This window comes from Homo sapiens, chromosome 10, assembly GCF_000001405.40.
Source record: "Homo sapiens chromosome 10, GRCh38.p14 Primary Assembly".
Lineage (NCBI taxonomy): Eukaryota > Metazoa > Chordata > Mammalia > Primates > Hominidae > Homo > Homo sapiens.
The window spans coordinates 26,996,961-27,023,002 of NC_000010.11; the positions used below are offsets into that span (position 1 = coordinate 26,996,961).

Here is a 26,042-nt window from a genome sequence, read left to right on the forward strand (position 1 = left end):
GTACATTGTCAGGATGTTTCTCTAATTTCTTGTTTTGTTTGTTTTGGGTTGTTTTTGTTTTGTCTCCTGGCTCATATTCCAAAAAAAATCCACCTTTTGATAAAAAAAAATATACGGTCATTATGGATGTTGAGGAGATTGTGGCCCAAAAGATTGAAAGGGATCTCAGGGCATATTAGGAACATGTGGGACAGACTGAGTGGGTCACATTTAGGGCCCTTGGTTGGTAGGGCACCAAACCTGACAAAACTGTAAGGTATAGGTTTTGATTTAAAACCTGAGATAGTTTTTCTAGATACACCCATGATGCTAATCCTTTCATTACTCTGAGAAATGGGATTTCTAAACAAGGTGGGATTTATAACAGATATGGCTGCTCCTGTGTCAAGGATGGTTAATGATTATATTAATCTCTCCCAATTTGTTTTGTCAAGGTAGAATACTAGGAGAGGTGAAACACTTTAACTTCCTCAGAGCACCCCTGGTCTTCCTGAGTTGTATCCTCCTGCTGTGGCTTCCATTTCAGCCTAAAGCAGTCCCGTTTCAAGTGTCCCAGTCTTTTACAGTAGTAACAGGCTGAGGGAAGAGTCCTCTGAGGCGGTTTAACATTTTTCTGAGACTGAGAGGTTTGAGAAGTTAATTGTGTTGGGAGAAAAGCTGAGTGTTGGGAGAGAAGCTGAGGCAGGGCTTGGAACATGTCCGGGGTCCAGGGTCTAAAATCCCTCGTGGCCTTTGGAATGTGTCTGGACTTGCTGGCTTCTTGCTTCTAGCACTCCCATTGTCTCAGGTAGCCATGTGTTTCGGAGAAAATGCTAAACCGCCACAGCTGTGGCTTGTTTGCTTGATGCACTGCTTCCTTTCAACCCCCACATCCTCACCACTTGTTTCTTTGTTTGATCACTGATAAATAGCATGGGCTCCCAGAGCTTGGGGCCTTCACAGCATCCATACTAGCGTCGGCCCCCTGGTCCCACTTTCTCTCGTCTTTTCTCATTCCTTTGACTCTGCCGGACTTCATAGCCCCCACGGCCTGGTGTTGGGTCTGATTACCCCAACAAATTGCTTTAACTGTAGATGTATAACTGGGCAGTCTTGTTTTTTCTTTTTTATCATAGCCCAGGATAACTGGTCAGCTAAGGTAACTAGTTTATTAGTCCTGGCCATGACCCAATTTACTAGGGTGGCTAAATCGTCATCTGGTCTGTTTTAAAAGTTTGCATTTAATAATGTATCATTTTTACTGTTTTCAAAGCAATCAGCTGACATCTTGCAATACTGTTGCAAAGTTTTATTAAAACATGTAAAATGATCTAATCTGATTCTTTTGGGTTCTGGTGGCACTGCTAGATTTTATTCAATCCACAACCCTTTGGAACACTGAGGGAATGACATTTAGCAGAGAAGGTGCTCGCTCCCAGGCATCTTTGAGCCTGTCTTCTGGACTTTTGGGGGCTGATTGTTGTCATTCTATTGGGCCTTTGAGGATTAAGTCTGCTAACGGGTCTGACCTCTGTGATTTTTCTAGCCATCTCTTAGCTTTAGCCTCTGAAACAAGTATGTGTACCAGCTGGTAAAGGTCTGAATGACCTGGGTCATAGGTTCTGATAATGAGCTCAAATTCGTGGGCAAACCCAATTGGATCTTTATGGAAGTCAGGAAATTCTATAACTGTGCTTCGCAGCTCAGCCTTTGACCAGAATTGATAGACAAACGCTGGGGTTCCTCTATTATTGGTTGTTTTCAAACCAGGGCAATCATGAGAGATGTCCCTATAGGGTCCCCCTTTTCCCATCTTCCAGATGAGAGGGTGCCATTGGGGCTGTCAGAGAATCAGCAGGAGATAGAGTCTTGGAAGTTAGATCCCCAGCTGCCTTCTGTTGAGTGAGTAGCAGTCGAGGAGGGGAAGATGGTAGAATGGAGAATGGAGCACGCAGGAGGAGGGAACAGATCTGGTCCAGGAAGTTCAAAGAGGTCGGGATAAAGTAGCGGTATACGTGGAGGTGGGGGAGGCACCAAGAGGAAGTAAGTGATTCTGAAGATTTCTCTGAGATAAAGCACTAGAGGGTTCTCAGCATCTCTAAATTGTTTCTTGGCCTCCTGTAAGGAGATGAGGCAATCTTCCCCCATTTTGCTCCTCTCCAGATATCACTCAAAGCAACTCTCCCATTCTGGCTGTTTAGTTTTTGTGCATGCCTTTTCTGTTCTAGTTCACAGGTGCACTAATATGGGCATCTCAGAAGATCCCCATCTAGGCCATTGTAACTTAGAGTCTGCTTCAGTTATAGTTGTCCATTTGACTAAATATTTGCATGACAATTCGCCATAAGCATTTTGCAAATACCCAGCCAGAGTTTCTAAGGTTGTAACTTTTTGTTGCGCAGCTGCTGGGATTTTAGCCAATGTAGAGGCCTCGTTTCCTATAGTTAGGGTTCTCCTTCAGATATTATTAAGTCAGTGAGTGTGTCAGACCCAAAGTGTGCTGCTTGTGGACCTAGCTTTCCAGGGCAATTACTCTCTGAACTGGTTCGGTCCACCTGTGTCACAACTACCTGGCACAATATGTCAGGGGCTTAAGATGTGGGAGGGGTCAGCTCCTTATATGCACCTGCCAGGTGAAAATAGTCCCTAGTTATGTTCTCCTGAAGGAGAAACCTCATTGGAGCCACTGCTGCTCTTAGGAGGCATTCCTCCCAGACACCTTCACATGATTCTCAGTCACATGAGAATGCCCTGAAAGGCTGAGAAAAGCATGGTGCTCTTTTTTCCTTTGGAGTGAAAATTCCACACTCATAGGCTAGAGGGGTTCAGAATTCATCAAATCTGATAGGTTTGAGACCAAAACCAACCAAAAAAAAAAAAAAAAAAAACCCAACAAAATCCCAAGAAGACAGAAACAAACAAGCAAAACCAGCTAAGCAAAACAATGATCACACAAATTATACAATTTCTGAGAACTCGAATTGTAAGTAGAAATTAAGACCAGCTGGTTGTTAAAACTTTTAGTCATTATAGAGAATTTGCAAGACAAACTCCCAGCTCAGCTCCTTACCTAGCAATGGGGCCCAGATTGAAGATGACCCTCCGCCCACACAGAAGCAGACAAGCTCAGCTTCCCTGATGGAAACCAGCTGAAACTCACAGGAAAAAAGTTTTTTACAGCAAAATAAACCTCAGATCTTACAATTGCTTTGTGAGACCCTGGGCAGAGGACCCAGATAGACCATGCCTGAACTCCTGACCCACAGAAACCGAGAGATAAGTGTGTGTGATTTTAAGATGCTAAGTTTGTGATGGCCTATTATGCAGCAATAGGAAACCTATACAATAATGAAGAATATTCATCATAAAAACAAAAGCCTGCCATCTACATACTTATTGAAAAATATTGTTTCCCCTTTGCAATTTCAACAAAATGTGGATGCCTACTGTTTCCCCTTTTATTCAACATCATTCTTGAAGTAGGAAAGAAAAACAAAAACTCCAGGAATTGGAAAGGATACAATACTGTCACTATTACAGATATTTTTTGTGTGTATATGGGAAATCCAAGACTCTACAGATAAAATACTCAAATAAAAAATATGAATTTAGCAAGATAGCTGAATCCAAGTTTAATACATAAAATACAGATTTTACTTCTATAAGAAACAGGAAATAAAATGTAAGGAAGGTAACATAATAGAATCAAAAGTATCAAATAACTGGGAATAAATCTAAAAATGTATATATGCAAGATCTCTATAAGTTAACAAGACAGAATAGGCCAGGCACGGTGGCTCACACCTGTAATCCCAGCACTTTGGGAGGCCGAGGCAGGTGGATCACCTGAGGTCAGGAGATCGAGACCATCCTGGCTAATGTGATGAAACCTCGTTTCTACTAAAAATGCAAAATCAAAATTAGCCAGGCATGGTGGCGGCACCTGTAATCCCAGCTACTGGGGAGGCTGAGGCAGGAGGATGGCGTGAACCCAGGAGGCGGAGCTTGCAGTGAGCCAAGATCACGCCACTGCACTACAGCCTGGGCAACAGAGCGAGACTCTGTCTCAAAAACAAACAAACAAACAAACAAAAGACAGAATAACTCAATATTCTAAATGTCTTTTCTCCCCAAATTATAGATTCAATGCAATTCCAATAAAAAATGCTTGCTTTGTAGAGCTCGGCATGTTGATTATAAATGGTATATGGAGTCCTATTCTCCTTTCTCTTCCTGAACATTTCGGTTCAAAAGTATGGGGACTAAGCCTGGAAACAAAATTAGAGTTGTGGTGGCCCAGAGTTAGGGGCTGGAGTCTGGATAAAATGAGAAGGGCCTAAGCGTGGGAGTGAAGCAGCATCACTGATGGAGTAATATCTGAGGTTCATTGTCTCATGCCAAAGAAATCAAGGATGCGGACACACAAGGGGTGAGGCTAAGAGCAGAGGTTTAATAGGTGAGAGAAAGAAAAGCTCTCCCCTGCAGAGAGAGGGTCCTGGGCGGGTCTTCCAGTCCGTGGTGAAATGCACAGGGTTTTATAGATGAACTTGAGGTGGTGGTGTCTGATTTACATAGGGCACAAAAGATTGGTTAGACCAGGTATGCTATTTGTATAAGGTGCAAAAAACTGGTTAGGGCTAGGTGTGCCATTTGCATAGTGCAGAAAATCTGGCCGCCCCCACCCTAATCTTTTATTATGCAGATGGGTTCTCTGCCTGGCCAGTGCCATGTTGCCTGTTCCTTTACTGTACAAAGAATAGGGAAGATGAAGCCTCCATGTTGAACATCCCCAGCCCTGAGGTAGCCCTTTTCTATTGGCACAATTTCCGGCATTCACCCATGCAAGGTTTCAGCTTGCTTATCTATGTCAGCAGCTCGATTTTTCAGGCTGCTCCTTGTTAGAAAAGAAATGATTTGGGGCCTGCTTTTTGTTAAAAGGGAAATTTTGCCAAGGACTCTTTTACCCTTGCTATCTGCCTAAATAATTTCTTTCTATCTCCTGTATCAGGAGTGTCACCCTCTACAGGGTTGGAGGTCAAGTAAGGGCACTCCTGAAAAGTAGATGGGATAGAATGAGGTATCAAAGATGAACAGAGTCAGGAGGCAACCATACGGGGGAAAGGATAGTCCCACGTGGGTTTTCAGCACCTGAGGCAGAAGCATCAGCATAAGAGGGTGGCCTGGCACAGGGTGTCTGGGAAAGGATGGGGTGAAGACAGCATCAGCTTGGGAGGAAAGTGGTGAAGGCAACCTGATAAAGGGTGCTGGAGTCCAAGGGGGAGTGGGAAGCACAGCTGCTTAGGGGCCGGGACACAAGAGACTGGTTACACACAAGAGGATTGAACAAATCAGTAAATACAGCAGATTCTTGAACAACATCATTTCATTGTCATGCTGAGGAGAGAAAGAATTCCCAACTGGGGCCCCATCTGGGTGGAGTTTGCACGTTCTCCCCTTGTCTGCGTGGGTTTCCTCCAGGTATTCTGGTTTCCTCCTACATCCCAAAGCTGGGCATGTTAGGTTATCTGATGTGCTGACGTCATGACATGGTCCCAGTTAGAGTGAGGGTGGGTGTATGTGAGTGGCCCTGCAATGGGATATGTCCTGTCCAGGGCTGGTTCCCACCCTGCACCCTTAAGTGCAGGAGAGGCTCTGACCATGTGTGACCCTGAACTGGGATAAGCAGGTTAAGAAAGGAATGAATGAATGCAAATTACTATAAAATAAAATGTTGTAGGGTCTATGGTCATAACACAAATGCTGTGGTACACAATTATGTGGTATGAAAGTGCTCCATGAGCCTGCCATATTTGTGACTATTTTTGAACACAAAAATAGTGTTCAAATAGCTGCATGATGGCAGCAGGTGCTCCTGACAATTTTTTCACTTTGCAACATTTATTCCTTGATTTAACACAGCACCACCACTACAACCACTATCACTCACTGACGCACCCAAAATTGGGTAGTATCTTAATTTTTTAAATTAATCTTTCCTAATATATGTAGAGCTCACATTTATTTCAATGTTTAGTATTCATGTTTTGGGGTCTTTACTTAGAAGATTAGTGATGTTTTTGTGACCAACAATATGTCATAGGAACGTTATGTTTTATTTGTATCATTTAGCCTATGCCAAATTGGTTCTGTTATATGTCATTTCACTTACAGTCAGATTCCAAAGCCTATCGACGGCATTAAATGAGTACTTAATATATATTCAGGATGAAGGGAGCCAGGTTGCTGTCAGAAAAGGAAGTTAAAAATACAGTTGACCCTTGAAGTGCTCAAAGAATAAGGGGGACAGGTCAGAAGGACACAAAGTCAGCTTGAAATGGCTACTACTGGCCAAGTCCAGGGGGCATCTGAACACCAAATTAGTAAGCTTTCCCTTCTCCCCCTATTTGTTCACTGATTTTGTTCTATTTATCAATATAGAAGGGATGAAGGAATAAGAAAGTCATCATTTGGCAACCATCATAATAATAATTGATTCAAGCACAAATCACCAATGAAATGCTTTATCTTGTGGGTGAAGTTCTGAGTAGTAGCCAGATATTTACAAAGCCTCAAAGTATCTTTATACAAGATATTTATGAAATACAAAGTATATAGTAGCTTAACCATGGACAAACATGGCAGGATGTTGACTTTGATTATTTCAACAAATCAAATAATCAAAGTCAACATTGGCCAGTAATGGAAGTGAGTGACAGCAGATGCCTCCAGATGCTGCATTGCAGAGAACTCAGCCTGTGTGAAAGCCCCGCCCGAATGGCACAACCTAAAGCTAATCATGAGGAAACACTGTACAAACCAAAATGGAGAGAACGCCTACAAAACAGCTGACCTATACTCTCCAAAAACATAAATGTCATTACAATCAAAGAAAGACTCAGGAACTATCCCAGATAAAAGGAGACTATAGAAACGGAACAATTGGACCAACACATCACACCTGGTGAAAATCCCCCATCTTGAATTTTCCTCGGCTATCAAGGATATTTTGGAGACAATTGGCAAAATCTGCGTAAGGTCTATAGATTAGATATTAACATTGAACCAGTGTTAATATCCTGATTTTGACCATTATACTACAGTTATGTAAGGTAATTCCTTTTATTTAGGAAATACACATTATTTAGAAATAAAGAGGCATCGTGTCTGCAACCTACAAACAGTTTAGAAAAAAAATCTGTATTAAGTACCTATATTCATATTCATCTAGAAAGACAGGAGGAGAAGGGGGAGAAAGGATAAAGTAAATGCAGTAAAATGTTAACATTTGGGGAATAATATCCAAAAATTATTTGTACTACCTCTTATAATCTTTCTGTAAGTCTGAAGTTGTCAAAATATAACATTTCTTAAAAGAAAAACAAATTTTTAATAACAATATTAATGAATTATAACTCACTGAATAAAATAAACCATGAATCCATGGTTTATTTGATACAAGCAAATGAATAAATTGAGGGTTCGATGGGGAGTAGAGATATGTACATAGTCTCAAATTACCTCCCTGTAAAATACTAATTAACCACAAGGTGAAAAAATAACATTACAGAGGAGAAATTCAGCAGATACCACTGTTAGTGATCAATGCTAACATTACCAGTAACAGGGCAAATCAAAACTGTAGGGTCACAGGTAAGATGCAATGAGAAGATCACTGGGTCACTTCTGTGATACTCCTGCCAAAAAATCATATAATCTAAATCTAATCACCATGAAACCCAATTGAGGGACATTCTTATATTACCAGACTTTACTCTTCAAAATATTCAAGGTCATGAAGGTCAAGGAAAGACTGAGGAACTGTTCCAGACTGAAAGATCTAACAGATACAACAACTAAATACAAGCCATGGATTAGAATGGGATCCTTTTGCTATAAAGGACATTACAGAGAAGTAACAAACTAGAATGTATTAATGTTGACTTTCTGATTGCAAGGTTTGCACTGTAGTTATGTAGAATGTCCTGACTTGTAGGAATGCCCACTAAAGTAATCAGGGGTGATGACATAATGTCAGCAATTTACTCTCAAATTGTTCGGAGGAGAAAGTCTTTGTACTAAAACTTCGAAATTTTCTCTAAACTGAAGGCTATTTCCAAAAGGTTAATTAAAAATAAATAAACAAACAGAAAAGGTGAATCAGGCAAATCTTGTTTCTCCCTGAGAACAGCTATATAAATCAGTGCTTAAAATTAAAATTATGTAAATTTGATGGCACTGTAACAATTGTAATACATCCAAACATGAACAATGACCACAGTTCCTGCACAACAAAATGATGTCTAAGTCCAATTAGACATCTACCACTACATATAGTGATAAAAATTACAAAATACAAATAAGCCATCAATTAACTGCACTAAAGTATTAATGACAACTTAGTGGTTTGGCTGTTTAAACAGCTCACATTTGGGCAGTTTGAGTATGTAAAACTCAATATTCCTGGTTTTCATTGGCAAAATCCACTTAAAAGTTAAAGAAGCCAAGTAACATTGTTTAAAATACTATATAAATTTTGATCTGACATATATGATACAAAAATACGTTCCTTTAATATTTTTACATGTCATATATTAATATTTAATGAGAAACAAAATGTCACATAAACAGCCCAGTAATAAAATCTTATCTTTCAGATCATATAATTTTTCTTTAAAACCTGTACATATTCTCTTGATGCTTTCCAAACTAGATCTTGATTTAGATTTGACTCATCAGTAGACCCTAGAGGGGAAGCTATTGATCCAGATTCCAATTCAGCAGCAGCTAGAATGAAAAAGAAAGAATTATATTCCTTACCTAAAAGATTTCATAGTTAACTAAGTGGAAGTCAGTAAAAGAGTTGAGAATTTTGTCAGTATTAATAAGAAAGAAAAATATGTATGCACAACTATTATACAATATTACTATTAAATATAATTTGCCCATGGTTGCACACTGAATTAATTATCCTTGTGGTTAAATATCAGAGCTTCTGGCTTTCTCACTCTTCATTCATTTATTCAACAACCATGAGCAAAGTAAGCACTAGAATTACAAGATGAAGATGATATGATCCACCTCTAACAAACATATGCTATAATCTGAAAAAAACAGACAAACATACAATTTCCATACAAAGTCACAGATATCATGACAGGTATAAGACAGGGCACTACTGGAACACACAGAAGGGACACCTATCCCAGTTCTGAGTCAATAACGTAGGCTTTTTGATGGAGGCAATATGTAGACTGATACCTGAAGTACAAGGAAAACATATGCCAGACGGAAGGAAGAAGCAAATGCCAAGAGCTGGAGCTGAGGAAGCTCCCTGTGGAATTCCACGTGGTCTAGGGTGGCTGGATGCCAGAGCAAAGGGGCCCGAAGAACAGCAAGGGGTGAGAAATAAGGTTGAATAACGTCACAAGGACCACATTGATGTGGGTATTTTTATTCCATGCTAAGGAATTTGGAACTTCTCCTGAGGGCAAAGGGAAACCAATGACAAAGTAAATGACTGGAGATTTCAAATGTCACCTGTCAAGCAACTGCTTATGAACTGTAATTCCAGACTAGATATTACTAGTGAGTCTGGGGTCTTTGGGCCTTAAATCACCACCATAACCTTGAGAAGTTGATGATGTCTTTGTTTTCTAAGAATAATTTCTGCATGCTGGCTACAGTTCTATGGGGATGGCAGAAGTGAAGAAAGTGTAGAGCCGGAAAAAAAAGAGGTGCAAAGATTTCTTGAGTTTTTTTAAAGCTATGGAACATGATGAATTAATGAGACAAAGTAAGTATACTCTTCACTATGAATATTCATGTTTTCACATCTTTCATTAGATGTGTGTAAGAAAGAACATTTAATGTAGTATCTATTAGCCAAACAATGGAAAGGGATCCCACTCACGATTTACAATTTATTTCAGAAATCAATTAATTAATCTAAATTTAATTCATGAAGTTTGGCAACATACCTTCTTTGAGTTCTCTAGTTATATTTTTTTCCAACTCCTGCTGCATCTGAAAAAAGTCAAATGTTATTTATAATGTTTAAGTTAGACAAGAGACATTAACATAGAAATGATGTATCACTTACAAAATGTGGCCTGTAATACTCTTAAAGACTACACTTAACTTGATTGCTTAAATATAAAAATAATCACATAAATAAAATTCCTACTTGTTTTAAGTTTAGATTTAAAAAATGTGTAATGTTGTTTAATCTGATAAAAAGTACAATTAATATTGGTCTACTGCATATATATAATGTCAGAAAGGTGATATTTTCTCTTATTTGTACAAGTTCAAACAACTGAAGTCATAGTTTGAAATGAATGCATTACTTTGTAATTCTTAGCAAAACTCTGACCTTTATAAAGCTTAATCAGTTTTTTCACTTTAGTGGATTTTTCCTTAAAATAAACTTTCTGGTGGGGCACAGTGGCTCAAGCCTATAATCCTAGCACTTTGGGAGGCCAAGACAGGCAGATTGCCTGAGCTCAGGAGTTCGAGACCAGCCTGGGCAACATAGTGAAATCCCGTCTCTATTAAAATACAAAAAAAATTAGCCAGATATGGTGCCTTGTACCTCTAGTCCCAGCTACTTGGGAGGCGGAGGCAGGAGAATTGCTTGAACACAGGAGGTGGAGGTTGCAGTGAGCCGAGATTGCACCACTGCACTCCAGCCTGGATGACAGAGCGAGACTCCGTCTCAAAAAAACAAACAAAAAAACCACTTTCCATTGTCTACTTTTAGAGAATTAAAATTTTAAAGTATGTTCTATGCTATTTTTTGGTACAGAATCATCAATATATACATGAAGAAAGTGATGCTATTATAATGTCATGTGAAAATTCTACTGGCAAAAAAGTGAAAATAAATATTATCCTATCTATATATTATAAATAACATTTCTTTATTCATGTAAACACAAAATTTGCTCAAAAAATGATAAATATAAGTTGGAGCTAGTTTTCAAGCTTAGTTTCTTTGATTCACAACTTGGTAGAATTATAAACAAAAAATATATAGCTCTTTAATTGTAATTTTGATTTCAGAAATTAGTACCAATTTTTTAAATATCTAATTATATTTATATACTTAATTATGAAATGTGTGGGAATATTTCAAACTATATTGCAAGTGGCCTATTTAGAGTGCTCTTATTTAAATCTTTTTTATAAAAGGTATTCTCTCACTAAATACCCAGAACATGGTCTGAAATAGTACACTATATAGTGAGCATAATAGGTACTTTGTGGTGATAATGATAATATGATATCCAATGCCTTTAAAAATGTTAGGTATGAAGATTAAATTTTTTGACTAACAGGTTTTCCAATATTTTGTAAGACTGTTTTCCATATATTTCTGTGACAATAACATTATAGATAGGCCTTATACAATGAATAATGTGACAATAGCATTAGTAGACAGGTCCTGTAAAAGTAATAACTCAATACCAAATAAAAGGAGAAGTCTTTATTGAACGAATCTTATATTGCTATTCATTAATAAACATGACGTAAAATATACATTTTTACATGACTTGTATTAAGGAACTACTAATGTAATGTAGTTTCTCACTTCTCCTAAATATTTACTTCCTACGTGTAATAAATTTTATTATTTCTTTATACTCTATTTACAAATACTTCCATAATATGTACGTTTTGCTTAGATAAAAATGAAATACTCTTAACAAATTGCTTACTCTAATATTGAAGAAATCTTAACTGTCTAGACAGAGAAACTTCCTGCATAACAAATTTAAATACAGGTTATTTTTCTCGCCTAACACTTAAAGGGTATATGGTATAAAGTTGTTGCCTCTATTCCAGCCCTGGAGTGGCCTCCCGCTACATAAAGTCTCTTCCAGCCTCTCAATGACCCTTGAATTTATTTTTTTTCTTTTGAGGTGGAGTCTCACTCTGTTGCCCAGGCTTGAGTGTAGTGGAGTAATCTCGGCTCACTGTAACCTCTGCCTCCTGGGTTCAAGCAATTCTCCTGCCTCAGCCTCCTGAGTAGCTGGGACTACAGGCGCGCAACACCACGCCCAGCTAATTTTTGTATTTTTTAGTAGAGACGGGGTTTCACCATATTGGACAGGCTGGTCTCAAACTCCTGACCTCGTGATCCGCCCACCTGGGCCTCCCAAAGTGCTGGGATTACAGGCAGGAGCCACCATGCCTGGCCAACCCTTGAATATTTTACCACATAAATGACAGCTGAGGGCAACTACTTTTGAGAAAAGGACACCAGGTCAGACATAAAGGCTCAAAGGGAAAAGGGGCAGACCCAGAACCCAGGAGGGAGGTGCTCTGGGAGGGACACTTGAAAGCTTAGGAAAAGGGTCTTCTGTGTTGACAAGTCTGGTTTTGTCCTGGTTGGTGGGAAACTGGGATGGTTTTACCTATATTAAAAGTGAAAACTGGCAAACATTAAATGACTTTGAAAAAGTCCCTTTCATTTTATTCCTAATTTCCCATTAAATCACACATTTTCCTCATATTTCCCTTAATACAAATTTAAAATTATTGTCTCCAGTTAAATAACTTAACACAGTGCCTGATACAGACTATGGAAGAAAAAAGGAGAGAAAAATGTCTTGGTGACATTAATAACTGTCCTATTGAGGTAGACAAGGTGCCATCGATGGTTTTTGAAATGTATAGAGCAATAGCTTAGGAGAAACTGAACACTGCTAGAGGAAATTAAAAAGCTTAATAAATTACTAATCTCTTACGCTAATAATTTAATGCATAATACAAAATCGAAAGCTATTATGGAGTAAAATAAATAAACTACGTTTTATAAAAATGCTCCTCCTTTCTCTGTGGACTTTGTTTATTTCCAGGTGGGGGTTATGCTTCAGGTGGCGGAGGCAGCCTGAGGTCCAACATTAATAAAGGGAGCACATCTGCAACTTCATGTATACTTTTTCATTTTAAAATATAAGAATAGGAGAAAATTATAAAAGAACAATGTACCAACAAGTTTTGGCTAATTAGAAGGATTCTTTCATAACCAGTAGTTTTCAAACTATGTCCCACAGAAATCTAAGGTTCTACAGAGGATATTGCAGGATTAAGGGATAAGGAAGTCACAGCTTCAGAGCCCCTACCTGTCCTTTAGCCAGAGAGCTCTACTTCTATCTGTTTTATGTAATATAGTTTCATGCCATTTTTTAAAAGTTCTATTCTTTCAAAAAAATTTTTTTAATGTATGAAAGTCACTTGACCTGACAGAATGGTTCTTTTTAATCTCTTTTGTTAAATCTAACATGGTTTGGCAAACCAGTGCCCCACAAAGAAACCATGTATACCAATGGAATATTTTTCAGCTTATCTAGAAATACTAAAAATAAACACCTCCTTGCTCCCCAAAAAAATCAATTAAGGAAAAACATTTCCTCAAAAATCTTCCCTTACATTGCGTATCTACATATTCTTTCATCATCTTATAAAATGTTGTTACCTGAGTTTTCTGGTAGGAACTAATGAGAAAATTTTATATTTGCATCATGCTTAGTAAGTTACAGAAGGTTTTTTGTTATTGTTTTGGATTTTTTGAGACAGGGTCTCACTCTGTCATCCAGGCTGGAGTGCAGAAGCACGATCATAGCTCACTGTAGCCTTGAGCTCCTGAGCTCAAGTGATTCTCCTGCCTCAGCCTCCCAAGAAGCTGGGACTACAAGCGTGCACCACCATGCCCAGCTAATTTTTTTTAATTTTTTGTAGAAATGAGATCTCACTATGCCTCACTATGTTTCCCAGCCTGGTCTTGAACTCCTGAGCTCAGGTGATCTTCCTGCTTCGGCCTCCCAAAGTGTTGGGATTATAGGCATGAACCATTGCACCCGGCCTACACAAGTATTTGACATTCATTTTCTTTTTGTACCCAGTAGGAAAATTTCATGACTCTGAAGCATTTAGACCCTGATCATCTCATTGTCAGAAAAATAAGACAAAACTAAGCTAACAAAATGATGAAAAAAATTAGCTGGATAGATCTTATAATTTATGTATTAAAACAATCATTTGATTTGTTCCTTGTTAAGCCACTTGGCTGCAGTGCTGTCTAAGAAACCTTAGACTTGGTCTTCTATGATTTGTTAGGACATGAGGCCTGGTAAAGAAACAAGGTTGAGGTCTCATTTAACATGAGTCTACACTTTTTTTCTCTGCATTAAGATCATGAAAATACCATTAAATCTTAAGCTAACGTGCACTGATTAAAATGGATATTTTCATAATGATACACAACAAAAACTAGTTGCTATTTATTTATTTTTGTTCAAACAAATGTTTTATGCTTCTTGTAATTTTTTAAGAGACAGGGTCTTGCTATGCTGCCCAGGCTGGAGTGCGGCTGCTATTCACAGTTGCAGTAAAAACACATTACAACCTTAAACTCTTGGGCTCAAGCAATCCTCCTGCCCCAGCCTCCCAAGTAGCTGGGATTACAAGTGTTCACCATTGCAACCAGCTTTTGTAATTTGTTCCCCCAGTCAAAAATGGTCAAAAGTTAGACAAGTATCTTAAACTGGATCAAGCATAGTTGATTTTTTTTTTCCCTACCAAGTCTACAATTGATAAAACTTGTCATTGTTGAATTCATCTTGAGATCCCCAGAAATGAAGTCGTACTATGAGTGAAATCGTAAGGCTGGATTGCAAGGTTCCTCTTCAATGGGTTTTCTATTGTTCTAGAAGAGCAAGACAAAACTAAGCTAACAATATGAACATAATATTGGCTAGCTAGGACCTTGTTACTGTAAAGCTAGGATCCAGGGGAGATGAGGACCCTGTGAAGCTTAACATGAAATTCTGGGTAGGAAGAAAATAATTGTTTGATCATACTTACTAAACACTCTTGATATCACTGCCATCTTAGACATCAATCATTCAAGTAATGGCACAAGTGCATTTTTTAAATTCACATATTTGCTTGCTTTAACTATTTAAAAACCACTGTGCAATTGCCCAGTAATAGACACATTTTACAAAAATTGAGAGAAAAATGCTGTAACAATAGCAACTAAGAATGTACTCCTAAGTAAGAAAATGACAAAACTTAAAAATACAAATTAATCAGTGTTAGAGTTTGTTTAATTCATAAGAAGTATTTATCTTGGAGTTCTTTAAGTAATAAATTTCCATATGTGGTTAAGTGTTTGGATGCCAATCATTCATTCACTTATGATTAAGGGTGGAACACTTGAGATGGTGCCAGAAAACTATCAAAGTGCTATCAACCACAGCCAAACTCAAATCCATTAGAAGGAAAGCCAAAGTATCTCAACGTATACCTTTTGCTATCAGGCAATAGGCAATAATATTCCATTTCTAATAAATTCAGCTTTTAAAGAAATTTAAAATGTGACAGTTCAGTTACATTTATTGAATAAAGTTAACAAATGGTACCTCTTGAAAATGAGAGCTCTAGGGACTAAAAAAAAAAAAAACTAAAATTTCTGTTTCCTCACTTTATTAGCACAGATAATTATGACCTTTACTTATCAAGCATAAGTCAATTAAACAACTCGGTATTTCACCAAATTAAAAACAAGAATTATATCAGAAATTTGAGGCTGGGCATGGTGGCTCACACCTGTAACCCCAGCACTTCGGGAGGGTGAGGCAGGCAGATCATTTGAAACCAGAAGTTTGAGACCAGCCTGGCAATATGTGAAACCCAGTCTCTACTAGAAATATAAAAATTAGCTGGGTGTGGTGGCACACACCTGTAATCCCAGCTATCTGAGAGGCTAAGACACAAGAATTGCCTGAACCTAGACATAGAGGTTGCAGTGAGCCAAGATGGCACCACTGCACTCCAGCCTGGACAACAGAGTAAAACGCTGTCTCAAAAAAACAAACAAAAAAAGAATTACATGAGAAATTTGAAACCCAAAGGAAAAAAGACAACATAACTAACCTTGCTCAAGTAGTTCTCCATGCTATTATTTGAAGCCCGTGGATTTGAGGTAGAGATCACTAAGTTTTCTCTTGGAATAAGTTTTCTGTTGAGATCTAAACTATTATTAAGATTTCCCACACAAGGTGGCTCCATGACTGGCCTGGTAGTGAGAGTGGTGAACAAAGATCTGCTCTGCTGTTTTTCCACAAGAAGTTTGGTGTTGACCTCTGCTAGCCTCTCATTAGTTCTGTGAAGATTGCAGAAGACACATGCTTAGTATTTTACTTTTCCCTAAATGATTCCTAAAAGACTTGCAATTTTTAAAAAGTTACCATAGGAGTAAATGAAATTTCCCATTAACCAGTATTTTAACACTGAAAAATGTGTCAGACCATGCCTACTGTATGCAATTATAATTTTTAGACTGTTCTAAAGAAGTGCATATGTTTCTAGGGTAGTTTCCAACAAACAAGTAATTCAAGCAAAGTAGGGAAGGGAAGAAAATGGCTACCAATGATGTATAACTTCACAGGTAACACCTGCTGCCTTCTGGAATGCTCCACTGGTAAGATTCCTGAGGATGCCATTAAAAATACTTGTCTTTAAAGGGTAAATATGTGACATGATAAATATGTTAATTTGCTTGACTATAATAACCATTTCACCATGTACAAATATATCAAAAACATCATGTTTTGATACATACAATTAATAAAACTAATAACAAAGGAAAAAGCCCAGCTAAAAATACTTGTATTTAGTAAACCAGTTTAGAGATTAAAAAATTCCTCAAGACATGTGCAAGCATTTGCTTTCACCACCCTTTTACATTTATTTCACCCATTATCTGGAAAAATATTAGGCATCTGGCCCCAAGGAATAATTCAGAGCAAAAAATTGTAGGGGAAAAGAAGATAGCTGAGTTGGTGATCAAAAAGAACTAAAGAGTCTCAAAGGCAGTTAGCTCCTAACATTGTCCCCAAGGCATCAGAGGTGGGGCCTGACCTGTTTTCCACACACTCCCTCAGGCTGACCAAGGTGTTATTTTTAACCACTTTATAAAATATACTTCCCTTCATCCCTACGTTAATCATTCCCTATTTCACTAGCATGCCTTTAAGTAGTAGAAAAACTATACAGGGTAGTTTGTCTCATGGCACCCTGTAGTGATAATACCAGATATCACAATCAAGGAAAGTTCATTTATGGAGTGCCAGAATGTGCAGAGTAGTAGTGATACTTGACCCTTCTGGTTTAAGTTGTAATTTTCCAAAAAACAGCCCAACTCATTAATAATTATATTTATGGCAATGCTGATAAGCAATCTGATGACAATATCAATGTCTAAATTACAAAGTTTTAAAAGCACATAGCTGAAAGACATAGATCCAGTTAACTACCTAAGAATATTAACGGAAAAGCCATATAAAATTAAAAAAAAAAAAACAGAGGAAAGACATAAACTGTCCTGGACTCACATTTTAAAGGTAAGTTAATTTACTAACATTTTCCAAAATTATATTACCTATTTAGCTTTCACTTCCCATTAATCTCATGAACCTAAGAATTATGCTTTCAAGGCAAATTAATGAGCTTAATTTATTTCCTATGATTCTATATTTTGACTTACTTGGTTAGTTTACTTGACAAAGATTTTCTAACTTTTAATTCTTCTAGATAGAGTTGCTTATATTTTTCCAGTTCGGTTTTATTAAAGTCTTCTTGAGAAGTTTTTATTTTGGAGAGTTCAGATTCCAGATCTTTAATTCTGAGTTCCATCTGACTTTTCATTGAAGCAAAATTATTCTCTCTAAACTGCTCTAAGTTTTCTTGAGATGCTGCTTGTGCCTAAAACAAATTAAAAGCATATGTTTTAAAAATATATAACCTGAGTAAGACCATGGTCACCTACTCGGTGTCTAAGGGCTGTTTTGTTTTTAACCCAAACTCCAAAAAGAGAAAGATCTCTGTGCCAGCAGGCATTGGTCAAAGAGATAAGAGGACATCCCAGGGTTCTAATTGAAAAGGGAATCCAAATACTTCCAAAGAAATGAAAGTGAGTTTCTACTAGAGAAGCATTTTCATCCTTGATGAAGTAATCAAAACAATAAAGGCTGACTGGCAACCCAGATGTCTAACGATGGGGGGAAATGTCATATAGAAAATAAAAAATTATAATTGGTAACATAAGGAAAACCTAAGAAAGAAAATGACTACAAATGTGGAGATATTTTCGAATGAAAAATCTTATAAAAATTATTTTTGTGTTAAAATATATTCATGGGGAAGACTTGAATATGCTTAAAAATTTTGATGTGATATTCCATTTTATGAATACACCTGGCAAAGTAAATTAAAGCAATCATCTGTATGTAAGATACAGGAACTTAGAGCTTCTTAGGGATAAATGCTGTGCGCATCAATACATGCTGAGAAAAAAGCCCAAGGTGTTGGATCTCTTACAGTAATTCTACCTGCTGGAGCATAAGGTTATGGAATCACCTGGACTACAAGTAAAGGAATGTGGAGTGTGATCCTGAGCCTGACTAGCTCTATGGCTTGGGCCCTGCTGTTTAACCTTTCCCTAGGTCTCTTCATCTGTAAAATGGGAAACTACACTGGCTTATCACTAAGATTTCTTCCTATTCTCATTCCATGTCTCTAAGAGCTAACATGCAGAGCTTTGTAAGACTATCATAAATACCATGTGAAGAAATCTGTGTTATCATGGATTGTTACCACCTTGGCCTTGTAGATTGTGTTCCAAGACTCCTATCTCTCACTAGCCTGAGGGAAGGGAAAGAGCTGAGAATGAGGAGTGAAGACTTTCTACTCTCACAACGGCTACATATTTTCAAGTGGCCCAGTTGAAATTTCTCTGTTAATTTTCACATCCTTTCCACCAGTTTGCACCCTCCATCCTCTCTCATAAGCACAGGGGTCCCACGCAGTTCTCAATCGCTCTTTATCCCAACTAAAACAAATTTGTTAAATTATTGAGTTTTAATCACTCATAGACACACAAACTCATGTTATTAAGTAGATTTTTATCACTCACTCAGACACACACACACTCACACACTCATATACCCATGTGGGTAAGAGAGGAAAGACATTCCTTTGGCTTTGTTTATTTTAGAGACAGGGTCTCAGTCTGTCGCCCATGCTTCAGTTCAGTGGCACAATCATAGCTCACCGCAGCCTTGAAAACTCCTGGGCTTACATGATCCTCTCACCTCAGCCTCCCAAGTACCTGGGACTACAGCCATGCACCACCATGCCTGGCTAATTACTTTTTTAAATTTTTGTAGAGATGGGGTCTCACTTTGTTGCCTAGGTTGGTCTTGAACTCCTGGGCTCAAGTGGTCCTCCCGCCTCAGCCCTCAAAGTGCTAGGATTACAGGTGTGAGCTACCATGCCCAGCCTAATTTGTTTGTTTTGTTTTGTATTTGAGACGGAGTCTAGCTCTCACCATCTTGCCTCACTGCAACCTCCGCCTCCCAGATTCAAGCAGTTCTCCTGCCTCAGTCTCCCGAGTAACTGGGACTACAGGCATGTGCCACCACGCCTGGCTGATTATTTTTTTAAATTTTTTAGTAGATATGGGTTTTCACTATGTTGGCCAGGCTGGTCTGGAACTCCTGACCTCGTGATCCGTCCACCTCGGCTTCCCAAAGTGCTGGGATTACAGGCATGAGCCACCGTGCCCAGCTTTGTTTTTTTTTTTTTAAGGCAAAAACAACACAAGTTGTGTTAAAGTCCCAGTGGTTTCCTGGGATGAAGTAGGGGGAATTAACTGCAAAAGGGCAAGAGAGAACTTTCTGGAAATGTTCTCTGTTGAGAGGGTGGTTAAGCAAGTATATACTTGGGTCAAACTGTTAAAATGGTTGTGTTTAATTATTTGTAAATTATCCCTTAATAAAATTTAATTTATATAAAACCTGGGTAATTATTGTGTATTTTTTTCCTTTACTTTTGAGTTAGTGATTCAGAGAGTAATTTTAAATATGTGAAAAAAAAGCTGAAGTTTAAAATATTTATCAGCCAGGTTTGGTGGCTCATGCCTGTAATCTCAGCACTTTGGGAGACCTAAGCAGGAGGATCACTTGAAGCCAAGAGTTCGAGACCAGCCTGGGCAACAAAGCAAGACTCTGTTTCTACCAAAAATAAGAATTAAAAATTTAGCCAGGCATCGTGATGTGCACCTGTAGTCCCAGCTATCCAAAGGCTGAGGTATAAACATTTGAATCATTGTTTCATTAGTACTCATGAACTCTGATAATTTAAAGATAAAATTAATTAAAAATTTTAAAAAGTGAGCAATGTAATTTAAGAACAATTCAAGAATATGGTATAATTTCTAAATCACAATACTTTCTTTTCCTGATGGTTTTGTTTTATGCCAACTGGTCTTAATAGTCAAATAATTCTCTGATGAAAATCATTATTCTAAATCATCAATTTAGTTATAATAATGATGGAAACTGGAATATCTAAAGGGAGAAACAGATGCCATCATCCTTCTAGAAATCTACAGAACAAATTGCTATAAGGGATGTAGAGGAAACACATATAATGTATATATCCAAAATACAATTTGCAGTGAAATGAACAAAGGCACACTACACATAAGCTAACCTGTAAAAATAGATTGACTTCTTTTAATTTTTCTGCTATTTCCTGTCTTGCTCTTTCTTCAATCTCCTGTTTATACTGTTTGACTTGACCAAGTTCTACCATATTCCTTTCTATATGACTTCTCAGGTTGATCACTTCTTGTTCCAACTTCTTTTTATTCTTCTGTAGTTTTTCACATTTCTTTTGTACTGTTTTCATAGATAACAACTCCTCTTGAAGAATTTGGTTCTTTGTATCCAGATGTAGACATTTTGAACCTGCAGTCTCCAGTTCTGCTGTAAGATCATCAATCTGAATGAAGACAATAATATAGTGTAATAATGAAGGAAGTAGCCTGAGAATAGCCTAACATAAAACCAAGAACAAATTTTGAAATAAATTCAGTTGCAATAAAATGTCACCTGAACCATAAAAGATTCTTCAAATGTGGACCCTTAAATTACCCAGAAAATCAAGAACAAAGTCAAAGCCACCAGGAGTCACAAAAATATATTCCTTATTTTTATCATCTCTGCCACACAACATTTGCACTTGATCTTCGACTTGTATTTTTCTATGATTGTTTCATGTCTTTCCTCCTTAAATGGCTCTAAGGGGTAGCAGAAAGTCTTACTACTTCCCCCATAAACATGCCCTATAATTTTTTTTTTTTTTTTTTAGTCTTGCTCTGTCGCCCAGGCTGGAGTGCAGTGGTGTGATCTCCACTCACTGCAAGCTTTGCCTCCCGGGTTCATGCCATTCTCCTGCCTCAGCCTCCTCAGTAGCTGGGACTACAGGCACCCACCACCAGGCCCGGCTAATTTTTTGTATTTTTAGTAGAGACAGGGTTTCACCATGTTAGCCAGGATGGTCTCAATCTCCTGACCTCATGATCTGCCTGCCTCAGCCTCCCGAAGTGCTGGGATTACAGGTGTGAGCCACTGCTCCCAGCCCCAACATGCCCTATAATTTCTAAAGAAGTTTTCGGACATCCTATTGAGTTATTTAGGCCTCATCAAAAAAAAAGGCTCCCAGAATAAGACTTTTAAAATAAGACTCTAATTAATGAATCTTGTAATATAGATTCTAATGCCATAAGCCTTTTTCTGAGCTGCAAATGTTTTATGCTAATTTGACTTGCATTCCAAGGGGTAATAATTATTGGTGTTAAGGCCACAGAATAAAGAACCTAGAAATAAATTCGTGTATTTACAGCCAACTGATTTTAAACAGATGCTAAGAACATACATTGGGGAAAGGACATCCTCTTGAATAAATAGTGCTGGGAAAACTGGATATCCACATGCAGAAGAATGAAACTAGACCCCTATCGAACACCATATACTAAAATCAACTCAAAATTGAATAAAGATGTAAAAAAGTAAGACCTTGAAACTATAAAACTACTAGAAGAGACAGGGAAATTGCTTCAGGACATTGGTCTAGGCAAAGATTTTATGGCTATTTTCAAAACCGTAGGCAAAAAAACAAAAATAGAAAAATGGGACAATACTGGCCAGGTGCGGTGGCTCACTGAGCCTGTAAATCCCAGCACTTTGGGAGGACAAGGCGGGTGGATCACGAGGTCAGGAGATTGAGACCATCCTAGCTAACACGGTGAAACCCCATCTCTACTAAAAATACAAAAAATTAGACAGGCATGGTGGTGGGCACCTGTAGTCCCAGCTACTCGGGAGGCTGAGGCAGGAAAATGGCATGAACCCAGGAGGCGGAGCTTGCAGTGAGCTGAGATCACGCCACTGCACTCCAGCCTGGGTTAAAAAAAAGAAATTAATAAAATAAAATTTTAAAAAATAGTAATAAAAAATAAAGATGGGACAATATTAAACTGAAAAGCTTCTGCACAGCAAAGGAAATAATTAATAGAGTGAAGAGAGAATCTGTAGAATGGGAGACACTATTTGCAAACTATTCGAGTAGGTGCTCAGGGTTCCTGCCCCAACCAAAGTTCCAGCCAATGGCCACCATCAGCAACCAGACACATTAGTGCACAAACCAGAAGATTCTAGTCCCCCTCTATCTAGAAGCTTTAATTCTTCTAGATAGAGTTGCTTATATTTTTCCAGTTCAGTTTTATTAAAGTCTTCTTGAGAAGTTTTTATTTTGGAGAGTTCAGATTCCAGACCTTTAAATCTGGAGAAAAAACTTTCTCCTCAATAGCTCTTACGTCTTTCTCCTGGCTATCTGCTTAACATTGTTTGCCATGAATAAATTAATCTCAACATTTATCAGATTCTACTTTAAATGAGACTAATTTTTCCTGTGTAAGTTATGTTTCTTATTGTCTCTTTTTGTAAAATACATTTTTTCTGCTTATTGCTTCCTAACAAAGTACCCAAAATTTATGGCTTAAAACAACATTTATTCTGTTCAGGAATCTGTGGTTTGGGAAAATCTCGGCCAGGACAGCTTGTCTCTGTTCCCCTCAGGTTCCCTGGACACAGCTCAAAGCCTGAGGGACTGGAACTCCTAGGCTGCCTTTGTGTCCTGAGCTTCCTCACAAGATCGGGGCTGGGTTCCAACGGCAAGGAGTCTGAGATAGGAAGCCTCTTCTAATCTAATGCCGAAGTCACATGTTGTCACCTTTACCACATTCTATTCATTAGAAATGAGTCACTGAGTTTGGCCCATGTTCTATTTTATCATGGGATGAATTATTTTCTCCTTTTTAGTTGACACACAACATTGTACATATTTATGGCTAGAGAGATATTTTAATAGATGTATACAATGTATAAGCGAATTAGCATATCCATCACCTCAAACATTTATCATTTATTTGTCTTGTGAACATTCAAAATCCTCTTTTTAGCTTTTTGAAAATACACAATAAATTATATTTAACTGTATTCGCCCTGTGGTGCTATAGAACACCGGAATGCATTCCTCCTAGCTAGCTCTAATTTGGTAGCCATCACCCAACACCTCCTCCCTTCCCCGCCCCTTTGCCTGCCTCTCCTCCCTCCTGCTTTTCCCAGCCTCTAATACCCATGATTCTACTCTGTACTTCCATGAGCTCGGTTTTCTTTTTAGCACTTGCATACGAGTGAGAACCTTAGATATTTATCTTCCTTGCCTGACCTATTTCACTTAACATAATGTTACTGACATGATTTCATTCTTTTGGCTGAATAACATTCCATCCTGTATATACACCACATCTTTCTTTTTTTTGAGACAGAGTTTCACTCTTGTCACCCAGGCTGGAGTGCAATGGTGCAATCTTGGCTCACTGCAACCTCCGCCTCCAGGGTTCAAGCAATTCTCCTGCCTCAGCCTCCAGAGTAGCTGGGACTACAGGCGTGTGCCGCTATGTCCAGCTAATTTTTTTGTATTTTTGGTGGAGACGGGGTTTTGCCATTTTGTCAAGGCTGGTCTCGGAACTCCTGACTTCAGGTGATCAGCCTACCTTGGCTTCCAAAATGCTGGAATTACAGGCATGAGCCACCGTACCCAGCCACCAAATCTTTTCCTTTAAAAAAAAAAATTCCATTTTTATTTTAGATTGAAAGGGTACATATGCAGGCTTGTTACTATACTGCAAAATGCCGAGGTTTGGACTTCTGTTGATCCTGTCACCCAGATTCTGAACACATTTCTTGGCACAGATCCTGCATTCTTGGAAACCTCAGCGTCTGTTGTTTTCACCTTTATGTATCTGTATACACCATATTTTCTTTTCCATTGTCTATGGACATTTAGGTTGATTCCACATCTTAGCTATTGTGAATAGTACTGCAATAAACATGGGAATGCAGATATCCCTTTGATATGCTGATTTCCTTTCTCCTGGATAAATACCTGGTAGTAGAACGACTACATCATATGGCAGTTCTATTTTTAGTTTTCTGAAGAAACTCCACATTGTTTTTTATAATGGCTGTACTACTTTACATTCCCACCAACAATGTCTAAGAGTTCCCTGTTCTCTGCAGCCTTGCTGGCATTTGTTATTTTTTGTCTTTTGATAGTAGCGATTCTAACTGGAATAAGATCATATCACTTGGTGGTTTTGATGTGCACTTCCCTGATGATTAGTGATGTTGAGCATTTTTTCCGTATACCTTTTGGTCATTCGTATGTCTTCTTATGAGAAATGTCTGTTTCAGATTTTTTGCCTACTTTTGAATTAGAATATTCTTTTTGCTGTCGAGTTGAGTTCCTTGTATATTCTGGATATTAGTCCCTTGTCAGATGAATAGTTTGTTATTTTTTTGACTTTTTAATAATAGCCATTCTGGCTAGTATGAGATGGTATCTTGTTGTGGTTTTGATTTGCATTTCTCTAATGATCAATGATGTTGAGCTTTTTATCATGTTTGTTGGGTTGCATGTATGTCTTCTTTTGAGAAATGTCTATTCATCTCCTTTGCCCACTTTTTAATGGGGTTGTTTTTTCCTTGTAAATTTGTGTAAGTTCCTTATAGATGCCGGATATAAGACCTTTGTTAGATGCATAGTTTGCAAAAATTTTCTCCCATTCTGTAGGTTGTCTGTTTACTCTGTTGATACTTCCTTTGCTCTGTAGAAGCTCTTTAGTTTAATTAGATTCTATCAATTTTTGCTTTTGTTGCAATTGCTTTTGGTGTCTTGGCCATGAAATCTTTGTCTGTTCCTATGTCCAGAGCTAGAAGCCATTATCCTTAGTAAACTAACACAGGAAGAGAAAACCAAATACTGCAAGTTCTCACTACTAAGTGGGAGCTAAATGATGAGAACACAGGGACACACGGAGGGGAACAACAGACAATGGGGCCTCCTAGAGGATGGAGGGTGAGAGAAGGGAGAGGAATCAAGAAAAATAACTAATGAGCACTAGGCTTAATACTTGGGTGACAAAATAATCTGTTTAACAAACACCCGTGACACAAGTTTAACTACATAACAAACCTGCCCATGTACCTCTGAACTTAAAAGTTTAAAAAAAGTTTTTTTATTAGTATCAAGTCCCTAAAGTTAAAAAAAAAAATCTTTATTTCACTGTTCAAAGCATTGAGAAGTCTATATTTCCCAAAATTAAGTGACTTTTTTGGTCCCAAAACTTATTAAAAATTACCTTATGTTTTAGCTTATTAATCTGAATATCCATTTCAAATTGACTAGTTTTTAAATCTCCATGGAAACTAAATTCTCCATTTTCATATTCATTTAACTTCTTTCTTGTCATTTTTAAGAGGTTCTTAAATCTGCAGGAAGGTACAAAATGAGTAACTCAAGTTTTAAAAAGGCAAACATTTAATAATTATTTAAACAGATATTATGTTTTAGCATGTAAGAAAAACAAATGAATCATGATTCTCTCGTTTATTTCAATCTGACATAGTTTGAAAACACTCTAATGAAATTATAATCTTAGGTAAATAATGTGAAGAAAAATTATATGACATATATGGCAGATAAAGAGTTAACATTAAAATCACATGAAGTTTTTATAAATAAATTATTCCTATCCATTTTAGTATGTTAATATAAAACATTAACTTATTATCAAATATTAGCTA

At 37.7% G+C, this 26,042-nt stretch overlaps 1 protein-coding gene across 17 annotated transcripts in view; it reads right to left on the reverse strand.

Annotated features, from left to right (window-relative positions):
• The window catches only part of ANKRD26 (ankyrin repeat domain containing 26), a 152,913-nt gene that overhangs the window by 49,379 nt on the left and 77,492 nt on the right, over positions 1-26,042 (reverse strand). For 11 of the 17 annotated variants that reach the window (XM_017015929.2, XM_047424821.1, XM_017015928.2 and 8 more), the window contains 5 exons: positions 25,598-25,727; positions 20,542-20,832; positions 17,534-17,751; positions 15,922-16,150; positions 9,957-10,002 (listed from right to left, as the gene is read on the reverse strand). In XM_017015929.2, coding sequence (XP_016871418.1) covers positions 9,957-10,002; positions 15,922-16,150; positions 17,534-17,751; positions 20,542-20,832; positions 25,598-25,727 — 914 coding nt within the window. Of the gene's footprint in view, positions 1-7,155; positions 8,764-9,956; positions 10,003-15,921; positions 16,151-17,533; positions 17,752-20,541; positions 20,833-25,597; positions 25,728-26,042 lie in introns of those variants that run through there. The other 6 variants (XM_047424827.1, NM_001256053.2, NM_014915.3 and 3 more) reach the window with 2 other exon arrangements.